Consider the following 26,951-nt stretch of genomic DNA (forward strand, 5'->3'; position numbering starts at 1 on the left):
AAAAAAAAACACACACACACTGCTTTAGTTTTTAATAGTTCTTGTCATGATGCAAGGGGCCTGACTCCAGCTGTTCTTCCCAAACCTCTGGGAGAGGCCTGGTTACATCTCGTTCTCGTAAATCTTGAATCCAGTTCTAGCAAGTCTTTAAGCCTGACCCTGACATGCCCAGGCAATGCGTGATTGGAAACAGGAGAGGTGGAAAAGTCCTGTGCCAAGTCGTGTCCACTGCAAAAATACATCATCTGGCAATGGCTGTTTCAACATGTGGAGCAAAGTGGCACATGTCTGGCTGTACGAAGCAAGGCAAGGCCAGAGATATACAATCTTACTTTTGTATTTTTATATGACTTTACCAACAAGACCAAAGTCAACACATGGCTACAGATTTGCTGACAATCTCTGGGCCTATGGAGAGAAGCCCCTGTTAGCCATAAAAGTATATTTCTTTTACCTATTGTGTTTTGTGACAGAGATATAATTTAATAAATATTAAATTATTTATCAAAATATTTATCACCATATTATATCTATATATTATATGTCTATTTTATGTCTATATTGTAATATATGTGTATTATATGTCCATATTATACTACATGTCTATATAATATAATATCAACTATTAAAATGTATTAATATTAAATTTTAATGATATTATTCAATATTTAGTAAAGTTAAAATGCAATCAGAAATTGAATGTTTGCCAAAATCCCTGGGTGGGGCTTCATGACTAGTTCTGGTCAATGCATTTTGAGTGAAATGATGTATGTCAGTTCCTGGCTGAGACAGTTAAAAGCTGTTACCTAATCCTTCAGCTCTCCCTCCCATACTCCAATTGAAGAGACCACATGTTGACATGGTGGAACCACCTGATAGAAGCACCTGAATCACCACTGGAAGAATAGCTGTTCTGGAGAGCCCTTCAAAACCTAAATTGGACTCTGCATAAGCAAGAAATCAATTTTCAAATGTAAGCCTTTGAGATTTCTAGCTTTTTGTTACTGCAGCATTAGCTAGTCTATCCTACCTAATACTTTCTGTACCAACATCTCTCAGATGAAGAAGAAAAGCTGTGCAAGAAAGAGGAATTAAGTAAAATATGCAGGTATAGAGGTCACATATTCAGATCAAATACCTGACTGAGGAGTTAGTGAAGGCAACACTGAGGAAGAGGCCATGAAGAAGAAAAGTGATGGCCGGGCGTGGTGGCTCATGCCTGTAATCCCAGCACTTTGGGAGGCTGAGGTGGATGGATCATGAGCTTAGAAGATTGAGACCATCCTGGCCAACATGGTGATACCCTGTCTCTACTAAAAATACAAAAATTAGTTGGGTGTGGTGGCGCATGCCTGTAGTCACAGCTACTCAGGAGGCTGAGGCAGGAGAATCGCTTGAACCTGGGAGGCAGAGGTTGCAGTGAGCTGAGATTGTGCCACTGCACTCCAGTCTGGAGACAGAGTGAGACTCCATCTCAAAAAACAAACAAACAAACAAACAACAACAAAAAAAGTTGGGGGGGGGGGGTGGCCACTGTTCCTAGACTTCTTCTGTGGTGAAGTGGAATATTAAAACATTTTAATATTTGGTATTTAAAATGTTGTCAGACATTTTCAAGAGACAAATTGGTACAACCTTTTTAGAAGGTGATTTAGCAACATAAATGAATAATTAAATTGTACAGATTCTTTGGCCCAGCAATTTCACTTCTAGAAACTGATCTTCTAGAAATAATGGGTAAGTGTGAAAATGTATGTGTTCAAGGATGTTTATTGCAAAATTAGTGGGAAATTATAAATATCATAAATATTCAACGACTGGAAATTATGCAAATAACAAATTATTTCATTTCTACCTTAGAATACTATACATGAAGTACATAGTATTGAAGAGTGTATAGTAATGAAGAGCTAGATTTCTGTATATTATGGACATGGTAGCCACACTAGAGGTAGGTAGCCTCTAAGATGGTCGCCGGTCATCCCTGCTTCCCAGTATTCATGCCATAGCGGCATCCCCTCTGCTTGTGTGTGGGCTAGACCTAGTGACTTGCTTTTAATGAATAGATATGGCAAAAGTAATAGAACAACACTTTGGAGATGTCATCTATCTTAACAAAAAGATGGCTTCTGTCTTGCTTGTCCTCTTTTGCTTTCTCATTTGCTTGCTCTCGGGAAAGTCAGGTGCCCATTGTGAGCTAGCCTGTGGAGAAGTCCACATGTCTATCACCATACCTGGCATATAATACACCTTCAAAAGATATTTTTGAATATTTTAATTCAGCAAATATTTGCTGAATACCTGTCTATATGTCCAGGTATTGTGCAAGCTCTGCTATAGAGTGGCATTGTGCAAGCTCTGCTATAGAGTGCTGAGCTAGTAGGCACAGTTCTTCCCCTCATAAAGGGTATAGTCTAGGGAAGGAAGTCAATATTAAGAGGGCAAAGAGAGAAGCTTGTGGGGGAGCTCTGAGGTGGGGACCACATTGGAGTGTTTGGGGAATGAGTAATGGTGGCTGAAGTAGAGTGAGGGAGAGGTAGACAGTGAGAGGTGGGGCTGGAGATGTGGGCAGAGGCCATAGGAAAATTCTCGATTTTATCCTAAGTGCCATGTGAAGTCACAGCAAAGGCTTTGAGTAGGGAAGAGATGATTTTATTTTGAAAAGTTTACCCTGACTGCTTTGTGGAGAACAGGTTGGCCACAGGCAAGAATGAAAGTAGGAAGGCTGATGATGAGGCAATGACATTGGTTCAGCTGAGAAAGGTGGCAATGGAAAGGGAGGGAAGTGGCTGGTTTGGTATACATTGTGGGGACTGTACTGACAGGGTTGTGATTGATTATTGGACATGAGGGAAGGGAAAGGTCAAGAATGACATCTATATCCCTGTCATTACAGCGCATTTACTGAGCCAGGAAACATTGGAGGAGAGGCTGCTGGGGGAGGAAAGACGAACAATTCACTTTGAAATGCCTCGAAAATATTTAAAAAGAGTTTCCAACTAAGCAGTTAGACAGTAGGTCTGGAATGCAAAAAAGAATTCTAGGCTGAAGATAGCAATTGGGAATGGTTGGTTTATAGATGGTCTCTAAATCCATGGGAGAGATTAAGGAGGGAGGATAAAGTGAGAAGTCAGGGCTTAGGGCTGGAATAATACATGGAATATACTTAGTACCATGTCTGATACAGGGAAAGCGCTCAATAAATGTAAGTTCTCATTACCATTGTTGTTGTTAATAGACGCAGAGATAAAACTAGGAAAGCATGGTGACACAGAAACCAAGATAACAGGGTGTGTGTCGAGGAGGAGGTGGCCAAATGAATGACATAGAAAGTGAAGACATGTTGCATTAGAAACATGCAACCATTCATAGAGTGGTGTGCTGGTAGAAAGGTTTATGGAGTGCCAGTTTAGTCAGTCACCCCTGTGTAGGACACCTATGGAACACCATAGGGGGCCTCTAAGGAGAAACATCTCCTTATTGCCATTGTGTCCCCAGGCCAGTGAGCATGACCTGCTCTGTGGCTTTACTTGCTGCCATTAAACCACCAATAGATCTTTGTTGTTTAAAGCAGATTTAGGAGACCACTAGGGTCCTTTCAGCCATCTGGGTGCATTCTTAGGTATAACTGAACCAACAGAGTGAGGAGTCTCTGTAGCTATGCCACAGTGAGTTTGTTCCCATTTTATTGAGGACAGAGCAGAATCTAGGCACAAATAGACTAGGGCCACTGACATGGTGTGATTTGAGGGGCTCAGAGAGGCCTCTATATCTTGCCTCTGATTCTTCTCTGATTGGGAGAGATAAGAAGGAAGGATGAAGTCATTGAGGGCCTGGAGAACAGGCTGGTGATGTTTAACTCATTCTAATAAGATCTCACTGTGGAAGGGCTGAGGTTACCAAGAAGTATGACCTAAGACACCAGAAGCTGTGTAAACATGTGTGTGTGTGTGTGTGTGTGTGTGTGTGTGTGCATGTTTCCAGATGTCTGTGTATGTGTGATGTGTGAACAAAGGCAGTACGGCATGAGAAAGCAATGGAAGGAGGAGGAGAGACTGCTCAACTTGCCTTGGAAGTTGCTCCATCTTATACAATCACCTTTGCAGGTTGGATGGCCCAAGATATCTAAGAAGTTCAGGATTGTCTCAGCTGTAAGGAAGTGGCATTATCTGACCACAGGGCCTTATCACAGGCTGCTTCCCTGATACAAGGTGAAATTCAGACTTCTTGGATGCTGTACAGGTGGCCTCATTTGAAGAAAATTCGATATACGGAAGTCTAAATTTTTGAAATAATTCACTCAATTGAAATCTGATTGAGGTCAAAGATCGTGTCTTATATTTCTTTCATATCCTTTGCCCATTAAGCCCTCCATAAATACACATTGTTTCTCTACTAAATAATTCACCTCAGGGTTCTTGGAAATAATGAGCTCCCTTAGCACTCTAAAGATACGTTTCTATTTTCAAAGATTTCCTGGCAGCTCTTAAGGGGTGTATCTATTCTATAGTCAGAAATACATCTGTAGACAATTTTAGTTCAAGTGCACATACAACCAAACAAAATCAAATTCATGCGTTCATAATGGCTTATCATGATGTTGCTTAGTTTGGCAGTTTTATTTTAATAGGCAAATGTGTACTTTATAATCAAGAATAATTCTATTCCTAGGTGCATAGGAGGCAAAGAAGGAGCAGAGGAAGATGAGTACTTCCAATTTGAGTCAATGTCCAGGCAGATAGTTATAATCATTTTAGAGATCTCTTGGCTTCTAGAAGAACAAGTTTCTGGGGCCTCAGGACCACTCAGAAAAGAAAACAGATCTCCTGAATGTCAAGAACTTGCATTTATTCCAGGTGACAAAATTCCCCTCTGTTCTCCCCTGTTCCACTAGAACAGAGGTGACACATTTGGTGACAATGATCCTCAGTCTCTGGGGTGGCCTGAGGCTCGCTCTGGGCTGCACCAGCTCACTCTCTACCAGGCTTGGGTCCTGATGCATACACACCACTCAAGCAACCCTGCATGGCCAACAAGAGCCTTCCTTCTCCAATTCCAAAAAGGATGGCACCTTTTTCCTCTAAAGGAGTTTCTATTTTGTGTAATTAATAAAAATTAGGAGGCCTTTTCTCAAAATAATTCTGTATATATATATATACATATAAATATATAATTCCTTTTGAAAGTGTAGATTTTATTAATAACTTCTGCTACTGTTGGGCTTACCACTGGATTCATGAACACAACCTCCCTTTGGCATTGCTGTTGAATTCCAAGGAGCTAAGATGTTTTGGTAGAGAGTGGAGAGGAAAGGGAGCTAAAGGATCCTTTCCTATGAGAAGCTGGACTTATTTTTCTCTTTGGTGTTCTAATTTCTCTTAGTGTGTGTCTCCTTGTACCATTGCTGTAGTACATCACGACCACAAATATGCCTCGCTCTGGTGGAGGGCTGTTAGTGTGTTCCCAGAGAGACAAGTTGTTTGAAGTGAATATGTTCACTCCTTGAGCCATGCTAAGAACAGACTTTTATACACTTATTCCTGTGTGGCCACCCAGACTGTAAGTGTCTTGGAACTTTGGGGCTCATAATTCAAGGAAACCACTTTTATGCACAAATGAGAAATACATCCCCAGTTCGTGCATCACTGAGGGCTGGGCCGTGAGGAAACGGCAGCCACAGCTCACAGAAGGAACAAGAAAACCACAGCTTTGCTTACAAAATTGGCTGCTTGAAGCAAGTGTGCTAGCACTTTGGACAGATTATATATGCTCAACTTTGCTAAATCATTTACAGAAATCTCTTAAAAACAGAGCTCTTTCCTTAAGCTTCTGTGTTCCGAATTAGACACATCTTTATTTAAACTCGATTAATCTGTACTATTATGGTGATGTGCAGGTGCAAGTGTGGAAAAGCAAACATTTGAGAAAAGCCATGGCCTTTCTTTACAGAGCAGCAAGTCTCAATTTGCAATTTGCAATGATCTGATACTTTCCCATGGGTGAGCAAAGAGCTTGAGAATTGCATTCTCTTCAGGACAATGAGACTGTGCAATAGTCCGCTATTTTGGTTTGTTCAAACAAGTAATGGGAAACGATTTCACCAATTCTTTTTAGGCATAAGGGTGTCACAGAAGTTTTTTTCTAATGGACTGTCGCTGACCTGGCCACAAGTGGCCAGGAAGAAGGTCTTAAAATTCAGCTACACATGAAGAATGGATGGATTCCCCAGGTCTGGACAGGTGAGGAGTTAAGTCTAGAGGAGGCTACTTAGGCAGAAAGGAGCATGTAGGTAATAATAAGTCAGAGTGCACATGTTAGAAAGTCGAATAATCATCCTTGGGTGGAGATCAATTTTTCCTTGCTTGCTTTTCTGCTTCCTGCTGGGTGTGGATGGACCAGAGTTTGTAGGAGCCAGTTCCTGGCCTAAAGAAGATGAGAGATCTGCGGATGATGGCAACAATCATGATAGTAAGTGCTTAGCTTATGACTACTACACTTACTATGCTAAGCATTTTACATATTTTAACTCATTAGTCCTCACAGTGACTCTATGACGTAGATGCTAGTATTGTTTTCATTTTGCAGATGTAGAGAATGAAAGAGAGAAAGTAAGAGTTTATATAACAGCTAAGCACAATAAATGGTGGTGCCAGGATTTGAACACAGGCAGTCTGTCCCCAGAGTCCATGCTCATAATTCTATTGCTTGGCATATATTGTCCAACATAATTTGGCTTTCCTAGTAAAATGTTTTTCTGATGAACCCACAGTGTGAGTCAACTTGGAAGTATAAGGCTTCAAAATACCAATGCTCTTTCAGCAAGTATCTCTGGCAGCTGGGAAAATATGAAAATAGTCAGCCTCTATGATTTGATGTATAAATTGCTTCCATTCTTATTTGCCTCAAGGATGGTCTTCAAGCACTTCTGCGCTCGCCTTAAGCATACACTTAAGGCCGAGTGGGGAAAAGAGATCTCTGGGCATCTCTTCAGACACTTGATTCTAATGTGGTTAGTTCTTAAGAGGTGATGACAGGTGACCATTACAATAGATCAATCACTTACTGAGCACTGACTATGTAATAGGCACTGTACGAGCATTTTACTTGCATCTTCTCCCTAATCTTTGATCTTGTCAATAAAACAGGTATTATAGTCCCAGTTTTAGAGATGAAGAAACTGAGGCACAGAGAGTCAAATAATTTGCTTGCTTGATGTTCCAAACAAAAAAGTGGTAAACATTGGATTCAAATTTGGGTCAGGGAGACTCCAAAGTTCTTGCTTTTAACCATTGCCATAGATACATACCAGTACTTTAGCACTTAGTGACATTTGTACTGTAGCAGTCAGTGACACATTATTTAGCAAAGTGAAAATTACTATGTCAATTTCTCAATCCTAATCAAGGGTTTTGTGATGGTTTTGTAGTGTATCAACTTGGCTAGGCAGAACTGCATTTCCCAGAATTCACTTTTTTATATGTTTCTGGTAATAGAAGAACCACAAAGAAAATTCTTGGGAGATTTATAGGACAGAAGGGAAGCAGGGGCCATCTTGTAACTCATATGCTGTTGCTGGTCTGCTGAGTCAACTTGTGGTTGGTGTGAAGAAGCATTTATAAACTCTGCTCTGTTTCTCCACCTCCTGTGCAAGGTGTGTGTTTAGTTCCATGGCAAAGGGCCTTGACTTCTATGTATCACCAAGATCAGTCTACCTGTGCCTATGGCTTCCAGCCTGCCTGGGATATTTTTTGCATCTATCTTCTCTTTCTGATTGCTTGTCCTATGGACATCCAGCTCCAGACTCAGACATGGAGACAACAGCCTCACAGAGACTGCTTATTCAGCTCCCACGAGGACAATTCCCTGGAGCAAATCTCTACAGTTTCTGTTTCTCTGGTTGAACTCTGACCGATATAGTTGGTCATCTGAAAGTCATCTCTACCATCTCTACATGGTCCATGCCCCAGCATCAAGACTGGGGCAGTCCTTCCTTCCCAGGGGGCAGGGAAAGAAGTGCAGGCTCTCTTTACCACTACTTGTGGTACCATGCTCTATTTTCTATCATGCTCTCTCACATGATTATCACCTGTGACATAAATAGGGTAGAAACTCTTCTCCCATTTCACAGAAGAGGAAACTAAGGCCTGTGAGGTTTGATTACTTGTTAGCAGCTTTCTCAGGATTAGGATCTAGGCCACTGGACTTCAATTAGGTGTCCTACACTTATTCTGAGATTCAATATTATGATTTTTCAAACCCAAGCATATGTAAGTGAGTGTTGAATTTCTTTGCCGGAGACAAGCCTTCTCTGTGGATAGTTTAAGCTGTGATTTCTCGATGAGAATGAAACTATAATGGAGCTCAACTTGACATTTTCTTCTCTTTGAGTTTGAAAATAACTTGCTGATGAATTTTTTTAGTATCTGCTTCAAGATTCACTCATGCTGTTCACATTTCCTTGTCTTCTATAGTCAAATGTGTTACTGTTTGAGGTAAGGGAGCTTCATAGTGTGTACTTTCCTTCTGATGAGGCAGAAGCAGACCAATATGAGGAAAATTAATATAAAATATTAAGTGGCTCATAAAACAGAGGTGATATATTTACATAGAAATGACATGATCAGGATATAGATCTAAAGGACATTAACATGTTAGTTTCTTGCCTGTGGACAGATAAAATTGTGGGTTTTTTTTCTCTCTTTAAGACTGATTCTTTTTTCAAACTTTTTTGAAATGGTTCATGGCACAGATGAACCACATATAGTGCCCAACCCACTAGAATGTAAGCCGCGTGAGACCAGAGACCACGTCTGTCTTGCTTATGATAGTCCCTAGCATCTAGTACATAAACAGTGCTTACCACATTGTAACTTACTAGGTGAACTTAATCGTCACAAAAAAATAAGCAAGAAATATTGTTATCCCAAATGAAGAAACTGAGTCACAGAGAGTTTAACTAACTTACCTAAGGTCACCCAGTAAGTTAGTAGTGAAGCAAGGTATGAATCCAGGCAGTCTGGGTCTAAAGACCTACTCTTCACCCCTACATTGTATTGCTATCCTGTGATTATTGTTAGTAATTGGCCTGGATTATACTGGATTATTATATCACTTATAGCGATATAATGAGTGATAAATATGTTAATAGCTATCACAAATTTGTGGCTATTTCATCCCGATTCTCTTTTAGAACATATGTATTAGACATGTCTATAAATGCATACACATAGGCATGTATATATACATACACATGTTTACTCCAATGACAAATCTCTTTCCCAAACACTGGGTAATAATAACAGGCATTAGCCATAAAAAAGGTGAATGTCTCTAAGTCCAGGAGCCTCCCTCTCCTGTGGCTGCAACTACTATCCTTACTATTGACTGGATGCCCAACTGCTTTGTGGATGAAGGCGAGAAATGTTGTCTTAGTCCTTCTAGGGTTACTACAAAAGAATGCCTGAGGCTGAGTAATTTATAAATTATTTGACTCACAGTTCTGCAGGCTGTACAAGAAGCATGGCACCAGCTTCTGCTTCTGGTGAGGGCTTTAGGCAGCTTCCAACTATGGTGGAAGGGGAGGGAAGCTGGTATATGCAAATATCACATGGTAAGAGAGGAAGCAAGAAGGGGGCATGGAGGAAAGCGCAGGCTCTCTTTAACAACCAGCTCTCACAGGAAATAATAGAGCAAGAACTTACTCATTACTGTGAGGACCTCACTCATTACTGCAAGGATGGCACCAAGTTATTCATGTAGGATCCACCTCCATGACCCAAACACTTCGTAGTAGGCCCCACCTCCAACAATGGGTATCAGATTTCATCATGACATTTGGATGGGTCAAGGAAACCAAACTATAGCAAATGCGAACAGGAAAAGAGTGAGTGGAGCCACATTGAGGCTTGGTGAAACAAGGGTGGGAAGAACGAGAAGAAAGAGAGGGGTATTTTGAATGGCTCCCAAGCCTAAACCATTCAATAGGCATTAAATACTAACAGTCCTCCTCAAAGTTTTCACAATGGAAATGACAGTGACCAAATTTTCAACATGGAGGTCAGGACCACTCTGGATGTGATCTGCCTGAGCGCAAAGCCTTCAGGAATGACTTAAGTCCCCTAAGTTAGCTGTCAACTTCATTTTATTTATTTATTTTGAGACAGAGTCTCACTCTGTCACCCAGGCTGTGAGTGAGTTAGCTGTCAACTTTAAATAAATTGAAAAAACATAGTAAAGGAATAATTTTGAAGATTTAGGAGCCAGCTAATCTCTTTATCTCATTGGGTCAATTTTCCCCACCCTCTCTGTCCCTCGTTGATTTCAGCTGCTCTACTTGCTCAGCTCTCTGCGTGATTGGGTTCCGCCACATTGCCTGGTCATCATGCACACTGACCAGGAGCCAGAGTTCAACTCACACAGCCCAGTGGTTTTCATTTGTTAGAAATGACAGGGTTTTCTTGTGCTGTTATAAAGCTTATCTGCTCATGTTATTTCTCAATATCAAATCACAGTAGAAAAACAGAAATGCCCCTGCTTAACACAGGTAGGATTACACTTGGGAGTGTTGATGACTTAAGCAAAGATTTTCCACCTACGGCCAAGTGATTGATGGCTTATCCATCTGCACGTAATACCAGTGTTTAAATCCTGGCTTGAATGGTCATGTCACCTGTAGTTTCTAAACAACTGAATATTTTCTCCCAAAGTAAGAATACAAGAAATAAGAATGAACACTTGTAAGTTAGCTTTTTATTTCTCTCCTGTTTGATAAGCCTGGAGGAGTCTCTCACGTGTGATGGTAATTGTTATTTGTGGCTCTGTGGCAGGCCACAGGAAGGTCACCAGACTTAGGCTGTGGCTTATTCCCCTTTTGTCTTCTCACGTCAGCAGGTGTCATAAATATCAATTTCATTATAATTTAAATATAACTACATAACTGGACATAATGGGCTTTTGACTTTCCTTTGGAAAACTGGTTGAGGCAGTTTTGGGGACAAATAAAATGAAAACTTGCCTGTTTTCTTTTTTTTAATTGAATTCTCCTTCAATTTGATCCATACTAGGGTATCAAATATTGCTTTCTAGTTAACTCCTGTTCTCAGCTTTAAAAATACTGTGTGTACACTGTTCAAGGTGTACAAGCACATACACATATACATATAGATGTAGACACATGTACATACACTGTTCAATAATTTATACTTTGAACAGCATTCCGATTGGCGGTGCATCTAAATGTTTAAAAAATAGTCAGCATGCCATGTGAATTGTGCAACATCCTGAGCCCTTGGTCATTCTCACCTAGACCACTGTGACAGATTCCTAACCAGCCCTCCTGCTTCGCTTCTCCCCTTAACTCCTGACGGCCATGTTCTACACAATAGCCAGAGTGGCTCTAAAAAGTAAATCTGACCACACCACTCCCTTGCTATCACTGTCTGGTGGCTTTCCACTGCAATGGGAGTGTAATACAAATGTCTCACAAGGGTCTACTGTGTCCTACATGACCTGTATTTTGCCTTTCTCTTGGACTCCATCTCATTCTACTTCTGGGTTAAGATCCTGTCTGCCTCAGGAGTCTTTCCACTTGCCCTTTCCCCTGGCTGAACCTCTCTTCCCTTAGATCTTGACATAGCCAACTTTTTCTATTCATTCAGGTCTTAAGCTCAAATGGTATTTCTACTCTTAAGTGGACCTCCCTGCAGGCCCTGGCTGAAGCAGCTTCCCCCTCCACTCTCTATCCTATTCCTCTTTTATTCATAGAATATATCACTGAATTTAACTCATGTATGTTTGTAAAAACATTTATTGTGTGGTACCCCGCGGGAATGCAGGTGCCATGAGAGTGTCCTCATCTGTCTTTTCCATCACTGTACCACAGCACCTAAAAACACATAGGTATGTTCCAGAGACTCAAAGAATTATTCAATAAGTGGATGAGTAGGTGAACAATGAACAATTTTACTTAAAGGCAATTTGGGGTACATTTAATTATTTGCTTCCAACTTTTTTATTTTGAAAAAATTAATCATAACTGTCGGTGCTGATTGCTACTTAGAGAATCATAGAAGCTTTTAGTTGGAAAGATTGTTCAATGATCAGTCCAAGCAGACATTCCCTTAGCCAACAGTCCTGACAAGGACTCATTTAGTCTTTATTAAAATATTCCCAATGTTGAAAAGCTCGCTCCTTACTTATCCAATATATTCTAATGTTAGACAACTCTGTTGTTTAATAAACCAAAGTCTCTTTGCATTATGCCAAATCTTAGGCATAGTTCTGTCTTGAAGGGTTACACAGATAAGCCTTCTTTCTTTTTCACACAGAAATACTATCATGATTTCTTTTCAGATGGTTTTCTGTTTACTAAATGTCTTCTGTAAGCTCAGTGATTCCTTACATGACCCTCTTACCAGATCTTTCGTTCTTGTAATATTTTTTAAAAGGTGTTTGCTTCCTTCTCCTTCCTGAATACATTTTTCTTTGACAATATTCTCATTAAATCTTGTCATCTGCAGTGGAAAACAGTATAAAGCCATGTGAGTATAGAAAAAAGTCAGAAGTCAGAAAAACCATAAAGAACTTGAGAATTGTGGGAGTTCCCTAGGAAAGCATGATCATTACTATCAATAAGACTTCTTTTGCTGGGCATTTGGGTTGGTTCCAAGTGGAATACTATGCAGCCATAAAAAAGGATGAGTTCATGTCCTTTGCAGGAACATGGATGAAGCTGGAAACTATCATCCTCAGCCAACTAATACAGGAACAGAAAACCAAACACTATGTTCTCACTCATAAGTGGGAGTTGAACAATGAGAACACGGGGACACAGGGAGGAAAACATCACACACCAGGGCCTATCAGGGGGTAGGGGACAAGAGGAGGGAGAGCAGTAGGACAAATACCTAATGCATGCAGGGCTTAAAACCTGGATGACGGGCTGATAGGTGCAGCAGACCACCATGGCACACGTATACCTATGTAACAAACCTGCATGTTCGGCACATGTATCCCAGAACTTAAAGAAAAAAAAATACTTCTTTTTTCACTGTGTTGTTTCTTTTAACTATATTGGTGTGTCCTTACATATAGACTTGAGAAAAAGAAATCATAAGAAGGTCACCAGATTTCTCCCTTCATACTACCGATGGAGATAGATGGGCTTTGCAGGTGTGACTTTCCCCTTGGACTCTCAGTCAAATAGAATTCTTTTTGAGAGAATAGGCTTCCTCGACTCTTTGTACGATTTTGTTGCATCTTCAGCCTGAAATCTCAACAAATACAGATTATTTTTCCAACACTGAATATTGCCAAAAAAAAAGGCCACCGTTCTTTTCTTCCTGGTTTCCTCTCAACTTCAGTAACCACCAGAATACAAAGGCTGGACTCACAGTAGGAACACAGTGGTGACTCTCATTCAAGCAGAAAGTTGACCAAATGGATAATCTTCCCTCTTTGGACTTCTCTGAAAGTATTTTTGTCTGTGCACTTTGGATGGCATGTGAATCACTTGGCCTGTTGAAATGCCTTACATGGGTGCCAATAAGCCATTGCAGTCAAAGTAAGCAGAACAAAACAAAGTAAACCGAACACTTAAAACACAATTAAAAAGGAGGCCAAAGTTTGCGGTTTTTTAAAAACTAAACTAAAATCCATCTGATTCTATCATTTTGAGTTGTAGTGATTATTTTTTGAGAAGATGGAGGTTTTCAATGAACAAGTGGTCTTTTGCAAGCAGTATTGTCCCAATTGATCTTATGATTGATGTTTTATGTGGACATGGCGATTGATCTTATGAAGGCCCTTGGTCTGGGGACTCCTCCGGTGTTGGCAGTTGGGTAAGGAAAAAGAGAGTGTTGTCACAAGTCTAAAAAGGCCACCATGCCCAAGGAGGTATATTGTAGTCATTGAAATACCCACTGTCAACCTCGTAATTAAGGCATAGAGTTGGACAGTGCTCTCTATTTCCACACATGTGTCCTGGCCAGCCTCATGGACTTGGAGAAGTAATTTCTTTTCCTATTCAAAGCTGCCCTTAATCTCTGTTTCAATCATGTAAAATTCTACTGCAATAAGGATGGCAGATAGAAGCTGCATGTGTGTGTGTATGTGTGTGTTTGTGTGTGTGTGAGAGAGAAAGAGAGAGAGACAGAGACACTGAATATTGCTAAATATTCAGAGACAGAGCGAGAGATATACCCATGTGATGATTCTGAACATGTTATTTAACTGGTTTTACTAATAGGCCACATGAAGCTCTCCTGGTGCTTCCTTGAAGATCTGATGGTGGGTTGGAATCCAGCCATCACTAGCTAGAAATTCCAAATGTATTCAGCTCAATACTTTTTTTTAATCTTTTAAAAATTTTTTTACCTTTATCGTTATTCACTGGGACACATTTGCAGTAAAAGAAAGATTTTAATACCAGGCTTATACTTGATTTTTAGACATTTCTGGAATCCTGTTAAGGGTTCCAGAAGGATAGCTTCAATATTTTTAGTTTTCTCTGATAGCCATGGTGTTTTTAGGTTGATAAGGAAACTCGTCTGTGATCTTTACTCATGAATTGTCCTTGATCAAATGAAGGAAATGGGGAGGGGTGTATGTAAGAGGATAAATGAGATAACAGTGATGTTGCTTGAAGCCAGACATGTTGTAGAGACTGAAATGAGAGTTCAAGGAGATGAGCTAGGAGGATTATTAGAATCCAAGGGAATTATTTTGTCATCGAGTTAATAGTACTACAGGGAGAAGATGCATAACTCGTTAGAAGAGAAACCAGAGAAGATTTATTTGGTAATATGTGACCCGCCTTCCTTACAACTGGAGAAAGTTATCTCTAGATCTATGAGGTAGAGCTGACAAATACATGCTGGAGATCTTTTTTTCTTTACTGAGATGTCAGTGTGCAATGTGAAAACCAAAAGCTCCTAAAGATAGTACAAGAAATCACACATCTTATAAATTACATCTCTTTGCTAAAGATGATGGACTTTTCCAGGAAACGATGCTATTGTTATTTCCCAAGTAGAGTTTTTTTTTTAACTTAAATGTTCTTGAAGAATTGAAGAATTGATATATAGAGAGAAGACAACGAGGGTAATAAAAAAATGCAAGAATTGTGGTAATTGGTGTTCTGTGTCAAGATCCTTAAATCTCAGCCTTTCTCTTAATATCATAAAGATAGAGTAAAAAGTCTTTTGTGAAGTAAGTAGCCAATAATGTTTTGTGCCCATTTTAGAGATAGTGCACTTGAAGGCACCTAAAACAGAGTGAAAATTACAGAGAAACAAACTTACTGTTATCACTAGGCAATTCCCTCTCCTGGGATAATCCCACAAAACAAACAAAACAAAGTAAACACAATAAACTCATCTGCTGCCCACACTTTTTTGATAATTGCAAGACAGCTTGCGATGGAAGAGGGAAGGCAGATCTGGTAGCTTTGATTTTCCTCTGGATGTAGACAGCCAAAATTGCAGAGCATGGTGCTTGTCCCTGTATTTGTTTACCTCATTTCTTCTTCCAGAGGTCAGACAGGCCTGTCCTAGTTTTTTCATTAGAGTCACTACCCTTTCCTTTGTCTATATGGCTCCCTGGGGTCTCTGTTCAACTGTATATCATCGTTGAATAGGCTTGGCTTCAAATCCCAGCTTTGTCTCTTTCAAATTGTGTAGCATTGGGGACATCACTTACCATAACCCACTGTCACCTTAGAAATAAAGCCTGAGGCAAAACTGTATATGTTATCACTTTCATGGGAAGTGTCATTCTAGAGAAACAATAGTGAAGAAAAAAGAGAGGGAGGCAGCACAGGAGATAGGAGGAAGAGCAGCTACGAAGGAGCACATTCCCAAGCTGGCCACTGCTTTGTAACAGTACTATTGATTGCTCAATCTTTTAGGTCATCTTTAGGAGCTGGCATGAATTGCTGTGTTTCAGAACAGTCCACGCAGAGGAATGAGGAGAAGAGGATTCATCCATTAGCTTCCATCTCCCATTGGTGAAAGCTTGCCCTGCAACTCCTCCACACTTCTGGGTTGTATGACCTGTCCTGCTACAGCCACTATGGAAATCTGAACCCATGTTAGTAGCCACCTCCTCAGCATGACCTGCAGCTTATGGGGCATGCAGTAAGTAGGAGCAAGCCAAGCGCCCTGCGGGCTAGACCTCTGGCACACTGCAGAACCAGCATGAACCAGGGCAGGTAGTGAACACCGAGAGGGTCCCATGGTACTGCCCACCATAGAGACTAAAACAGAGCCTTTGGCAAGAGGCAGGAGGCTCTAGGCATGAGGTGTTTTCGGTCATAGCCACACATTACCTCAGATTCCAGGAGCAGCTGCTGCAGCAGACCCAGCTAGCCCAGCCTGCAGATTGTCACCATGAAGACAGAGATGATCCTTCCTCCAGTGAAGAGCAAAACTTCTTTGTGGCCTATATGACTGCTTGGTGCTGGGCAAGCTTCCTGAAGAGTCATCAGCAGCTGGAGACCATGGCTGAGTAAATCCAGGGTGGGGGCAGGGCATAAGCTGGGTCCAGTGCATTATCCATCCTTTCTAGATCTTGGCTTCTTTTTGAATAATGAGCAGTAGCAATTGCTATTTCCTCTTCTTCGCCATTCCAAGCTTCCCTCTACAACATCCTCTCTTTCCAGCTGTGTAGCAGGCGCAGCTCTAAGCCCATGTGCTTGGGGTCTCTTACCCTTGGAATTGCCTCCTTTGCCGGGCTTTCTAAGTTGTCTTACTGCTAGTTTTCAAGGATCTTAAAAATCCATCCTCTTGTATGAAGGCTTCTCTGGCTGAATGGGCATTATTCTGGCGTATTCCTCACCTTCCAAATAAAATCTATGAGCATGTTATTTAGGTTCTAACAGCTTTATCTGTTTTTGGTCCTGGCAATGACTGTATTTGGAATGCTCTTTTTAAATACTGTGGCTACTGAGATCTCATTGAGGGCAAAGAATGGTTAAAATATCACTTATAAAAGGCAGTCAACTTCTCTACATAGGAGATACCACAACTTTTGGCTGTAGACAGTGAGGAGGTAGGAATACTGCTGGTTGCTACTATTTTTCTTCTTTCTTTTTGCTATTGTTCATTAACATCCCCTTATTTCCTCTGATTGTCTCACAAAGAGGGTAGTCTTTCTGCTTAATCCTATGGCTTGAGTCTCCTTAATAAGGCAACAAGCTGCCCTGCAACAGAGAAATGAAATGCCTCACTCTTCCCCACCTCAATTCCATGGGGACTGGGACTCGATAGGTCAGGGTTGAAGTTTGGGTCTTGGGGACCAGAGCTGGGTAGGGAGGGGAGGAAGTTACCATATGAGTGTCCCAGCATGGAAAAAGTCAAAGGATTATTCTGATCCACTGTCTTTAGGGAACATGGAGGCTTAAAACCAGCATATGAAAATACTGCCATTAAACTGAAGGGGCCACCTTCAGGTTGGCTGATGAGAGGCAAAGTCAAGAGTTAGGAGCTGGGTGAAACCAGAAGGACGTGAGATCAGGAGCAATAGGAGAATGTTTTGGACAACTGCAAGAATGAAGCTGGAGCTTGGGACCTGCCTTTAATGGCCATCAGCCAGGCGTAGTGAAATAGATGAAAAGCACAGCATTGGGGTAGATCAGATGTATGACCAGGACTGCACATGTGGAAAGAGACTTTTAACAAGGGACACACCCATCTTTGTATCTCTAGCTGCTCGCAAGCACTGAAATACACATCGATGGGAAATAAACATATGTAGATAACCAATTTGATCAATGAAATCAGTCAGCAGCAGGTAGAATTTGCCCTCACACCTGGGCTTTGTCTCTGCTGGCTGATGCATGTGTTTCACAATTAGTAAATGCAAAGCAGCATTTCCCACTCCACACACACATACACCTTAGCCTGTTCTTGCCATAAGCAAAAGGCCAACGCGTCCTTATTTCACACTCAGTTTTGGAGTAGTTTGTGTTCCCTTGGGTAGGAAACTCCCTCTTCTTGTTTTCAATATGGTGACTTTTCAGCTTATAGCCTGGGTAGGGATGTGATATTTGGTTAATGCCAAATTTGCTCTGAATGTTGCTGGCTTTAATATTTATGTCCTGGAAAATGCAGTTCTCCCCATGGTTTGGATATTTTACATCTACACGTTATATTGAGAAAGCCAGAGTTGAGGCTCGTGGAAAAAAATAGCTAAATTGATGACTAATTTTACATCAGAAGCTTTTTCAACCAGAGAAACAGTATGCTACAAGAGTAAGCAGGGCCACCCCACCCCTGATCCCCTGCCCTCTGCCTGGAGAGAGGAGATTCTCAAGTGTCTCTTTGAGAGAGGGTGGAGGAACCACTGAGCAGAGCCCAGCTGTGTGGACCCACACAGCAGATGGTTCAGTTGAAACACAGGAGGCTGGAAGTTACTGTTCACTGGGCACTACTGACCAAGGCCCTTGCGTAATGCAGCCACTTGTTATGCTGAAGAGGATTGTTTAGAAGGAAAATGGGCTGGTTTTTCTTGCTTCACATATCCTTACTGGAAGGTCATGACCGATCTTTCTTACTGCCCACATTTTTATTTATACACCATAAGGAATAATTTCCATCTCACTCTCCCCACTCCTTTGCCAGAACATATAGAAATGTCTGTGTTCAAAAGGCTCTTGTTTTCTTGGCTGAATATCAAGATTTTTTCCAGATTGTCAACTCCTTAAGAGGGGAGAAGCATAAAATCCAGCTGTAGAAACCAAGAAGTGACCTAACATGATCCAGGTGTTTCCAGTTTTCTTAGGAAAGAAGGCGAGTATGTATGTCATGTCTGATGGGCCATGTCTAGAGGATACTGCCCGATCACATTAGGTTGCTGATCACAGTTGTGATGGTGGGTTGTGGGTGAGTCCACTGTGTGTAACAGCTATATCTGATTTATCAAAATTGGTTTTGTAGTGGTATTCTGAAAGTTCGTGACCTTATTCAATGCACATAAAAAAGGATTTAAAAGCAGTAAAATTGTAAAGACAACATGGTGGTATGTAAATGCAGGGAAAAGGCAGAGGAGAAACGGGCTTTAACTTTAGTTCTGCCACTTGCCAGCCATGTTTCTGTGGATAAGTCTTCAATCTCTTTGATTCTCATGTTAAAAATCCATAAAATGGATAAAATGTCTGCCCTTAATGCCCCATTATAAAATTAAAGTATTGTATTGGGGACAGATTTATTTATACAAATAACTTGGACAAAGCTATGTAGATAAATGTACATTTAGTGGTCTGCCAGCTTACCTGTTAAGTCAGTAGTAACATTCCAAGCCACCATCCATCAACTGGATATGGTCTACTATATTTTTAGATTCCATTTTTTAATGAATTAAAATTGAACAAGTCTGGCAGAATAAACTAATTTCCCAGAATGAATACCATGCCACCTGCCAAAATCTTCCTCATCCACCCTGTCACCTACTTCTCAAAGCATTCTTAGGTCTTCTAATCTGTAATGACTCCATTAACTCCTGTGCCTTCCTAGCATGGGTCATGTCTGTGTCAGCTCTTACGGGAGGTTAGCGACTATGGATGATGGTCATCCGGGAGCATGTCTGTCTTCCCCTGCAGAGAGGAGCCTAGTCTTAGTTGGCTTTGGGCCTGCCCACCTTACCTTGTAGAGTGCCATGCATGTAGGTACACAGAAATGCTTTTTAAATTGAATTACTATTTTTCTTCAGTAGACTATACACGGGAGGGAAAAAAAATGGTGGTGGCTTCTGAAGGGCATCTGGTGTTAATAAATGATGTCACAGAAAAAAATCAGAGCAAAGATCAGAGAGCTGGACGGCCGTACATGCTTTGCCACTGCATGGCTCTATGTGCCTTGGATGAGTCACTAAACTCTCCAAGCCTTTGTTCCCTTCTCTTTGTAATGAGAGAATGGGATGAGTTTGACATTATGCTTCTTTACAGCACTAAGATTCTAACATCTAAGGTAAGGTGCTGAGAACAACTTCAGGTAAATCAAGGAATGTGTTAAATTTTTAAAAAATTTTTATTTCTTTATTATAGAGGTAAAATGTACATATAAAATTTACCATCTTTACCATTTTTAAGTGTACAATTCAGTAGTAAAAATACATTTATATTCTTTTGTTTTTTTCTTTTCAGCCCCCCAACCCCCTTTCTGGCCTCTAGATGTTTTAAAATGGGAACCACATAAGTGGGTGATTCCAGGGCAAAAGAAGTCTATTCTATTTTGAGTGGTAAGGATTATTTTACATAACTATGGGATTCAGAATAAGGTATTTATCAAGTGTGTCTGTGGATGGTGTTTCAAATATGATTTAAATTGGCCAGGTGCAGTGGCTCACACCTGTAATCCCAGCACTTTGGGAGGCTGAGGCAGGCAGGTCACTTGACCCCAGGAGTTTGAGACCAGCCTTGCCAACATGGAGAAACCCCATCTCTACAAAAATACAAAAATTAGCTGTGTGTGGTGGCATGCTCCTGTAGTCCTGGCTACTCCGGGGGCTGAGGCAGGAGGATCCCTTGAATCCAGTAGGTGGAGGTTGGAGTGAGCCAAGACCATACCACTGTACTCCAGCCTGGGCGACAGAGTGAGACTCTGTCTCAAAAGAAAAAAAGGGTTAAGTTAAAAAAAACCTAGCATAAAAGGAGTAGTCCAAGATTATCTTCGCTTGGCCCATTGTACAGCTTACAAAATATGTCATATTAAAAATAAATACAACTTAGAGTTTTAATCAAGTCTGAATTTTGGTGGTAATTATTTTTGAAATCTCATCACACTTTTTTTATAAGACATTTTCATTTAAGAACAGTTTGGAGTTATCCCAGAAACTTGAATTATCCTTTAAAAGAGTATTACGTGAAATGTATTTTTATTAGTGGAGAAGAATAGAACTCTTTCACACGCGTTGGGTTAGTTTCATTTCCAAACTACAGACCCTTACCTTGTGGAGTCAAAGCAGAGATGGTAGGTACTTAATTGTACTCTTTGAATAGTGCGCACTGTACCAAATTATTTTATTGCTGGGTCCATTCTAATTTATTGAGACCACTGTAACATGATCTTGTTGGGTCATACATAAACTGTTCACTTCTCTCTATACTGATTTTACCAAATCTGCTATATACATCTAGCAATCCAGTCAATTTTGCAAACTATTTTATCAGGATTGACTTTCCATCTATCTTCTTGGGGACCAAGAAAGAAACTCAATAAATCTTTACCAGATGAAATCAACCCTTAAATGGGTGAACTATTTCCATTGTCCAGTTGTCCCAGTAAGTTTAAAGCAGAGAGTGTTTTTGACAGCTTTGTTAATTTAGCTCTTTTTTTTCTTGCTGGCAATTCAAGTATAATTGAATTCTAGTGTTGAGCTTTAAATATGTACTTGAGACTTGAAAAGGAAGCTTGATGAGGCGTGTGCTGCAGCATAACCTCTCAATTATTCACACATTTATGGGACTGTAATCACCAAGGCCTCTCATTGTAAACATTATGAACACTTTTATAACCAGACATTGATATGAGCTAATAGGCAGTGAATTACAACTCAAATGATGAAATTACAAACAGTAATCAGATGGTCAGGGTCATCAATCCTAATTAACACCATCATTTTTCAGTTCTAAAATCTCTGATTCTGTATCAAGTCACTTTTTAGTGTTACCTGAGTAATTTCCAAAACTTCAACTGGTAAAGGCTGACATGTTTGAGAATGATTCTAGAGCCTCAGAACTACTCACTGCCTACAATGAGGACAAGAAGTACTGCCATTTTTGTGTCTTGCTTTTAGATTGAAATAACTTATAAGTTATCTGTCTGTCATTTAGCATGATATAATAGCTGTGTTTAGTAAAGCATCCCAGATTGGCTTCTGCTAGTATAATACTTAACAGGATTGGAAGAAAATCCTGCATAAATGTGATTAGTGACCCTTACCTCCCTTTGTCCTTTTCTCCATTCCTGCCTACTATCAATAATTAATTGAGTCATTCAAAAAATATTGATTGCATCATAACCTTGTGTCAAACACTGTACTAGGCCCTGGGGAAATAATCCAGGCATGCTATCTCACCACCATTGTAAAGCTTTAGAATTGTAGTTCCAATGCTATCAAGGAAGATTTCAGACGTTATTGAATGAATTTATACTGAACACAATCTTTAAAGTCATGAAAAAAACAGCCACAATGGATTGACATATATTCTGTTAGAGTCAGTTGGGTAACCCACTTTCTTCTTGTTCTATGGTGGTTTGGGAGCAGAATTGGGAACAACAAGATTTCTGGTCATTTTTGTTCCTTTGTTTGAGATGTGTGGGGAGATGGGTGAGAAGATAATAGGGACTAGGAATTGCTTAAAACAACATTTTGAAAGAAAACTATGAACGGACTTGCTGTGCAGTTTCCCTATTTGCTCAAAGCTCTTCAGATAAGCAGTCACAAAAGTATCTATTTTCAGATTAAATGAACAAGAGAGATGTGCATGTAAGTTCTGCTATGGGTTGAAAATTGTGCATAGTTTATTATACATCTAGTTAATGTATGCATAATCATGGGTAACAAATGATCAGCAAGAACACAGCTGGGTTTAAACTTTCTTTTCTAAATCCCTTCTCACTAAGGGTTGTTGAAAACCCCAGAGTAGCTAATAAAATACATTAAAACTGATACTGAAAATGGTGACAGATACTAACAGCAGCATCTTCTTGAAATTAAATTTCTTCTTTTAGGTCCTTTAGCGGCTATTGCTTCTCTTCTGAGTGAACTTATTCTTTCATGAACTATTCTGGCATTGTCATTTCCACATATCAGGGCCCTGAGAGCATTTGCTCCAAGTTTATTTGAGGTGTGGTTTTGTTGTCATTGTTGCTGTTTAGTTTTAACCAATTTTATTTCCAACAATACCTTGCTTTATCTATTCAGTCTGAAAAATGCTTCCTGTAGCTACTTATTAGCAGGGAGCGACTTCTCTCTTTTTTTTCTGTGCACTCTCATAGTGTGAGATTTTTTTCTTGTAATAAAAAATATATAGAGAAGAGAAGACTTTTCCCTCTGAATTGTTTCCAGATTGAAGTGAAAATGGAGTCTCCCATTGTTGGAAGCACAGCTGCTGCCACATGTTCTGTGTCTGCTCCTGTGTCCTCACTGATGGGAGGGGCTTACTGGTATCATGTTTAGCCATTTTCATGCCGTGTTGTGAGCTGGCTTGGTTCTCTCCCCTCACGGCCCCTACAAAATCAGTCACTCCATGGCCTGGTGAGACCTGGGTGGATTGATGGGACACGTGTGATTCGAGGATAGCCTAGGCTTGCTGATGGCCACCAGCAGTGGCGTCTGGGTGGGAAAGATGAGACACACACACTCTCTCTCTCTGTCTCTTAGCTCTCCTGTTGAAATTTAGAATTGGGGAAATTCAGAGACTGGGCAGGTTAGCTTTGGAAACTGATTTGAAAGGCCACAAAGTAGACTTGGAACTAGGACAGCAATGACAGGCTGAAATTATGAGGATGAAGATCAAGAGAATAGGGAGAACAAAGCAGTGATGCACTGAGAAGGTGTGAGTAGTGCTCCATGCAGTTCGTGAGAAAAAGGAAGAAAGACAGACAGACACACACACACGCATACAAGTTTATACACAGACTCACACAAAAGCCACCTCAGTTCCTGACTGCTTTCGCTTCCAATTTCGGTTTACCCATGTCTCTTATCTTGGGGCACCTTGAATGAACTGCCTCTGCCCCTTATGGCCAAATGAGCCTTGACAACATCAGTGAAGCCTGATGAACTTATGTTGAATATTGTGACACTATGGATAATAGTATTACAGAAACCAAGATAAGTTAACTGGAGGATATCCAATGTAATTGTTACCCTCCCACTACCATTTCCCAATCATAAAAATGTCTTGTGAATGCCTTGACTACATGTCTGTAGTTGAAAAACTGAATGTCTGTAGTTGAAAAACCACTGGAAATTGTTTTCTTCCTTGTTACCAATGTCCATAAAAAAATCAGATGCCACTAATATCAGAACTCAGAAGTCCTTATTATATAGTCCTTTATTATTAATTCATTTTAATGAATACGGAACTAAAAAGTTGTTATGTGTGATATAAAAATAAGCTATAATGAAGTTTTGTGCTGAATATATGATCTGGAAACCACTAGACATTTGTGTTTCATTCGCATAGCGTGCTGGTTGCCATTAAATTACTCTTGGTAGGGAATGCCATGTTCTGATGGCAGCTGAATGTAGAACTCTATCTTCTTTATGGTAAAGGGGAAGAAGTGTGTTTGAGAGCATTTACATGTATATCTTACTCTTCATTTGTGTGGTTGCTTCTCTTGGTAGAATATGGTTTGGCAAGGGGCTATCATAAAACTTTTATTTTGGCAAGTGTAAGATATCACTCATAAGTAAGGCAGATCTTCCCAAACAAGTTGCTATATAAAATTTAAAGCATCAGTGTTCATTCACATATTTCTCCTATGCAGTATGTTTATCCTCTTTTGTTAGCTTTCCATGCTTTTGTCATCATTTTTCTTTCCTTCTTCTGTCTTCTCTTCAGCTGTTCTAGAAGTAGTGGATGACTTAGATCAGGGTGCAACATAATGTCATCTGTAAATATATGAAGGTAAATATCTCCTGGGGATACACTTCATGTGGTCCAGTGGATAACAGACATTCATGTGTGTTATTAATATCCATGTATTTGGCCATCTTTAGTCTATAGTCTCTACTCAGCCCCTCTAACACACACACACACACACGCACCAACCTAGTTTTAATTGAGCTAGAAACTGCATTGTTTGTTCAGGCAATGAAAAGGAAAAAGTTCTTAGGGTAGGGTAATTCTAATGGTAAATTTTTTTCCTTTAGAATTTTTAACTGCACTAGGCACACTGAATTCAGTGCTAGAGGCAGCCATTGTACTGTGAGGAGATATTATTTGTCTCATTAGCACTATGGGAATGCCATGAAAGGGTCCATGACCCAGAACCCATCTTGCTTTAATAATGGCTTCACACTCATAAAAGATTTTTAATGGCTACATGAGACATATATAAATATTAAATGCCATTCCTCTTTGTTGATTCACAAGCCCCAATGAATAGGACTCCTTCGTGGCTTCCAAAGTTGAAGAAATGTGCCTGGCTTCTCACGCCAATGAGTGAAGCAAACAAACCCACAAACGGAAACACCTCAACTGTGCCCTGCTAACCCATTTGTAAACCTGAGAACACTGCGAGTCTTTAGCTCTTGTTGGCTGCCTTGCGTTCTCTGACTCGGAAACAAAATTTCTGTCTGTTGTATACCTGTTCCAAATCCTGCTCTAGGAGAATTAGGAAAACATGGTCACATATGTGTAACGAGACATTTTTCCCAAATGTAACTTTATGGTTTTCATCAAAACTTAGTTCATTTGCTTTGGTCCCCCGGCCACAGCATTGCAACTCCAGAGATGGACTATACCCCTATGCAAAAGAGCATTTTGTGCGTATATTTAAATTTGGATAGACCAGCGCTCACAGTTCATCTGTATACTTAGATTTCGGTAAGAACTCAGGATCCTGGTGATGCCATTGCTCTTTTCCCAAGGCCTTGTGCTGGAGTGTAACATTACATGAAAATCGGTGCTGTTTGTTTAATCAGAGTCCCCCCAAGGTTAGCACCTGCCATCCTACTGCCTAATTGTATGATGATCCTGTGTGGATGACAAGACCCCAAAGAACTGTATTTGCCATATTTTTCTTGCCTTCCGATGTGGATGTCAGGTCTATACCATTTAAAGATGCCTTTATTTACGAAAGGGAAATTGAGTTACAGACTTCCTGTTGTGAGTAGAGCTGCCTGGGGAAAATGATGGTAGAAAGGTGTTCTCAAGGAGAGAGCCAGAATATGTGAGCCCAGAAGCACTTGGGGTTTGGCAAACTTTATATTCTTTTTTTTAATATTTGGGGTTCAGCAGAGCCAAAAATGTATTTTGCTCAAAGTACCATTTTCCTTTCATTTTCCAAAACCGTGTATATTCTAGGGAAATTTAATCCGTGTATTTTGGAATCATTTAACTCTCATTCATCAAAATATTGCATGGTAAACACTAGATCTGGGTTCAAGAAATCTCTTGAGCTCTTTGATAAGCAATTTTTTTTCTTTGAACCTGGAAGTAAAAATTCTCTTTGAATGAACCCAGAGAAGTACAGAGCATACTTCTCAGATTATCTCCCAGACAGAGTGGGGAGCTTTCCATGTGTCTACTATAAAGCAATGATGGGAACAAGGCTTTCTGGGGGCAAGGCCTTCAGAAACAGACCTTGGACATATATGGGCTTTTCCATTGAGGACTTCTAGCACCCCATTTAGCTCAGTCAGACTTAGATCTTTTCTGTTGCAACAACAGCCCCAAGTTAGTTCCAGCCCGTGTCTTCTGAAGTGCTTCTGAACCCTACAATCTTGTCTTTATTTAAAATTATATTTTGCTCAACCTGGGGTTTTATACATTAAATTTTCCTTTGAAGTACGGTATTGAAATATTATTTGATTACTGAGTTTTTTGGTGCCCTCTTAAGTTTTGTGCCTGAAGTCCATGCCTCATTGGCTTTGCACCTGGGCAGCCCCCTCTTCTTCCTGCTGTGGCTCACTCCATCTGAGGCATACCAGTGTGCAGAATGGGAGGAGCATGGCAGTTGAGAAACTCTGCTCAAGCCTACTTCTGAGTTTGGTTCAACCAGGCTTTCTCTGCTTGGGGACCAGATGGCCTGTACCCAGTGTGTCTACTCACGTGCCCCTTCTCCCATATGTCTCAGTTAGTGCTGAGGCCATGGAGTTTGCAATTTTTCTTTGGTCAGGAGGTTGTCTGTACAGTGCAGAATAAGAATAGAATAAAGGCACCTGTTTCTGGGGCATAGCCTTTTCCCATCGAAATGATTACTTTAATCTCATACAGATTGGAA

General features: G+C 40.4%; 1 long non-coding RNA gene across 6 annotated transcripts in view; it reads left to right on the forward strand.

The window, feature by feature from the left end:
• LOC105370504 (uncharacterized) overlaps window positions 1-26,951 on the forward strand; it is a 402,142-nt gene that overhangs the window by 189,255 nt on the left and 185,936 nt on the right. For 2 of the 6 annotated variants that reach the window (XR_007064173.1, XR_007064174.1), the window contains exon 3: window positions 819-16,861. The exons of 3 other annotated variants lie outside the window; for them this stretch is intronic. This is a non-coding gene — a long non-coding RNA (uncharacterized LOC105370504). Of the gene's footprint in view, window positions 1-818; window positions 16,862-26,951 lie in introns of those variants that run through there. One more of the 6 variants, XR_007064175.1, reaches the window with a different exon arrangement.

The sequence above is a fragment of the Homo sapiens genome, chromosome 14 (genome assembly GCF_000001405.40).
Source record: "Homo sapiens chromosome 14, GRCh38.p14 Primary Assembly".
NCBI lineage: Eukaryota > Metazoa > Chordata > Mammalia > Primates > Hominidae > Homo > Homo sapiens.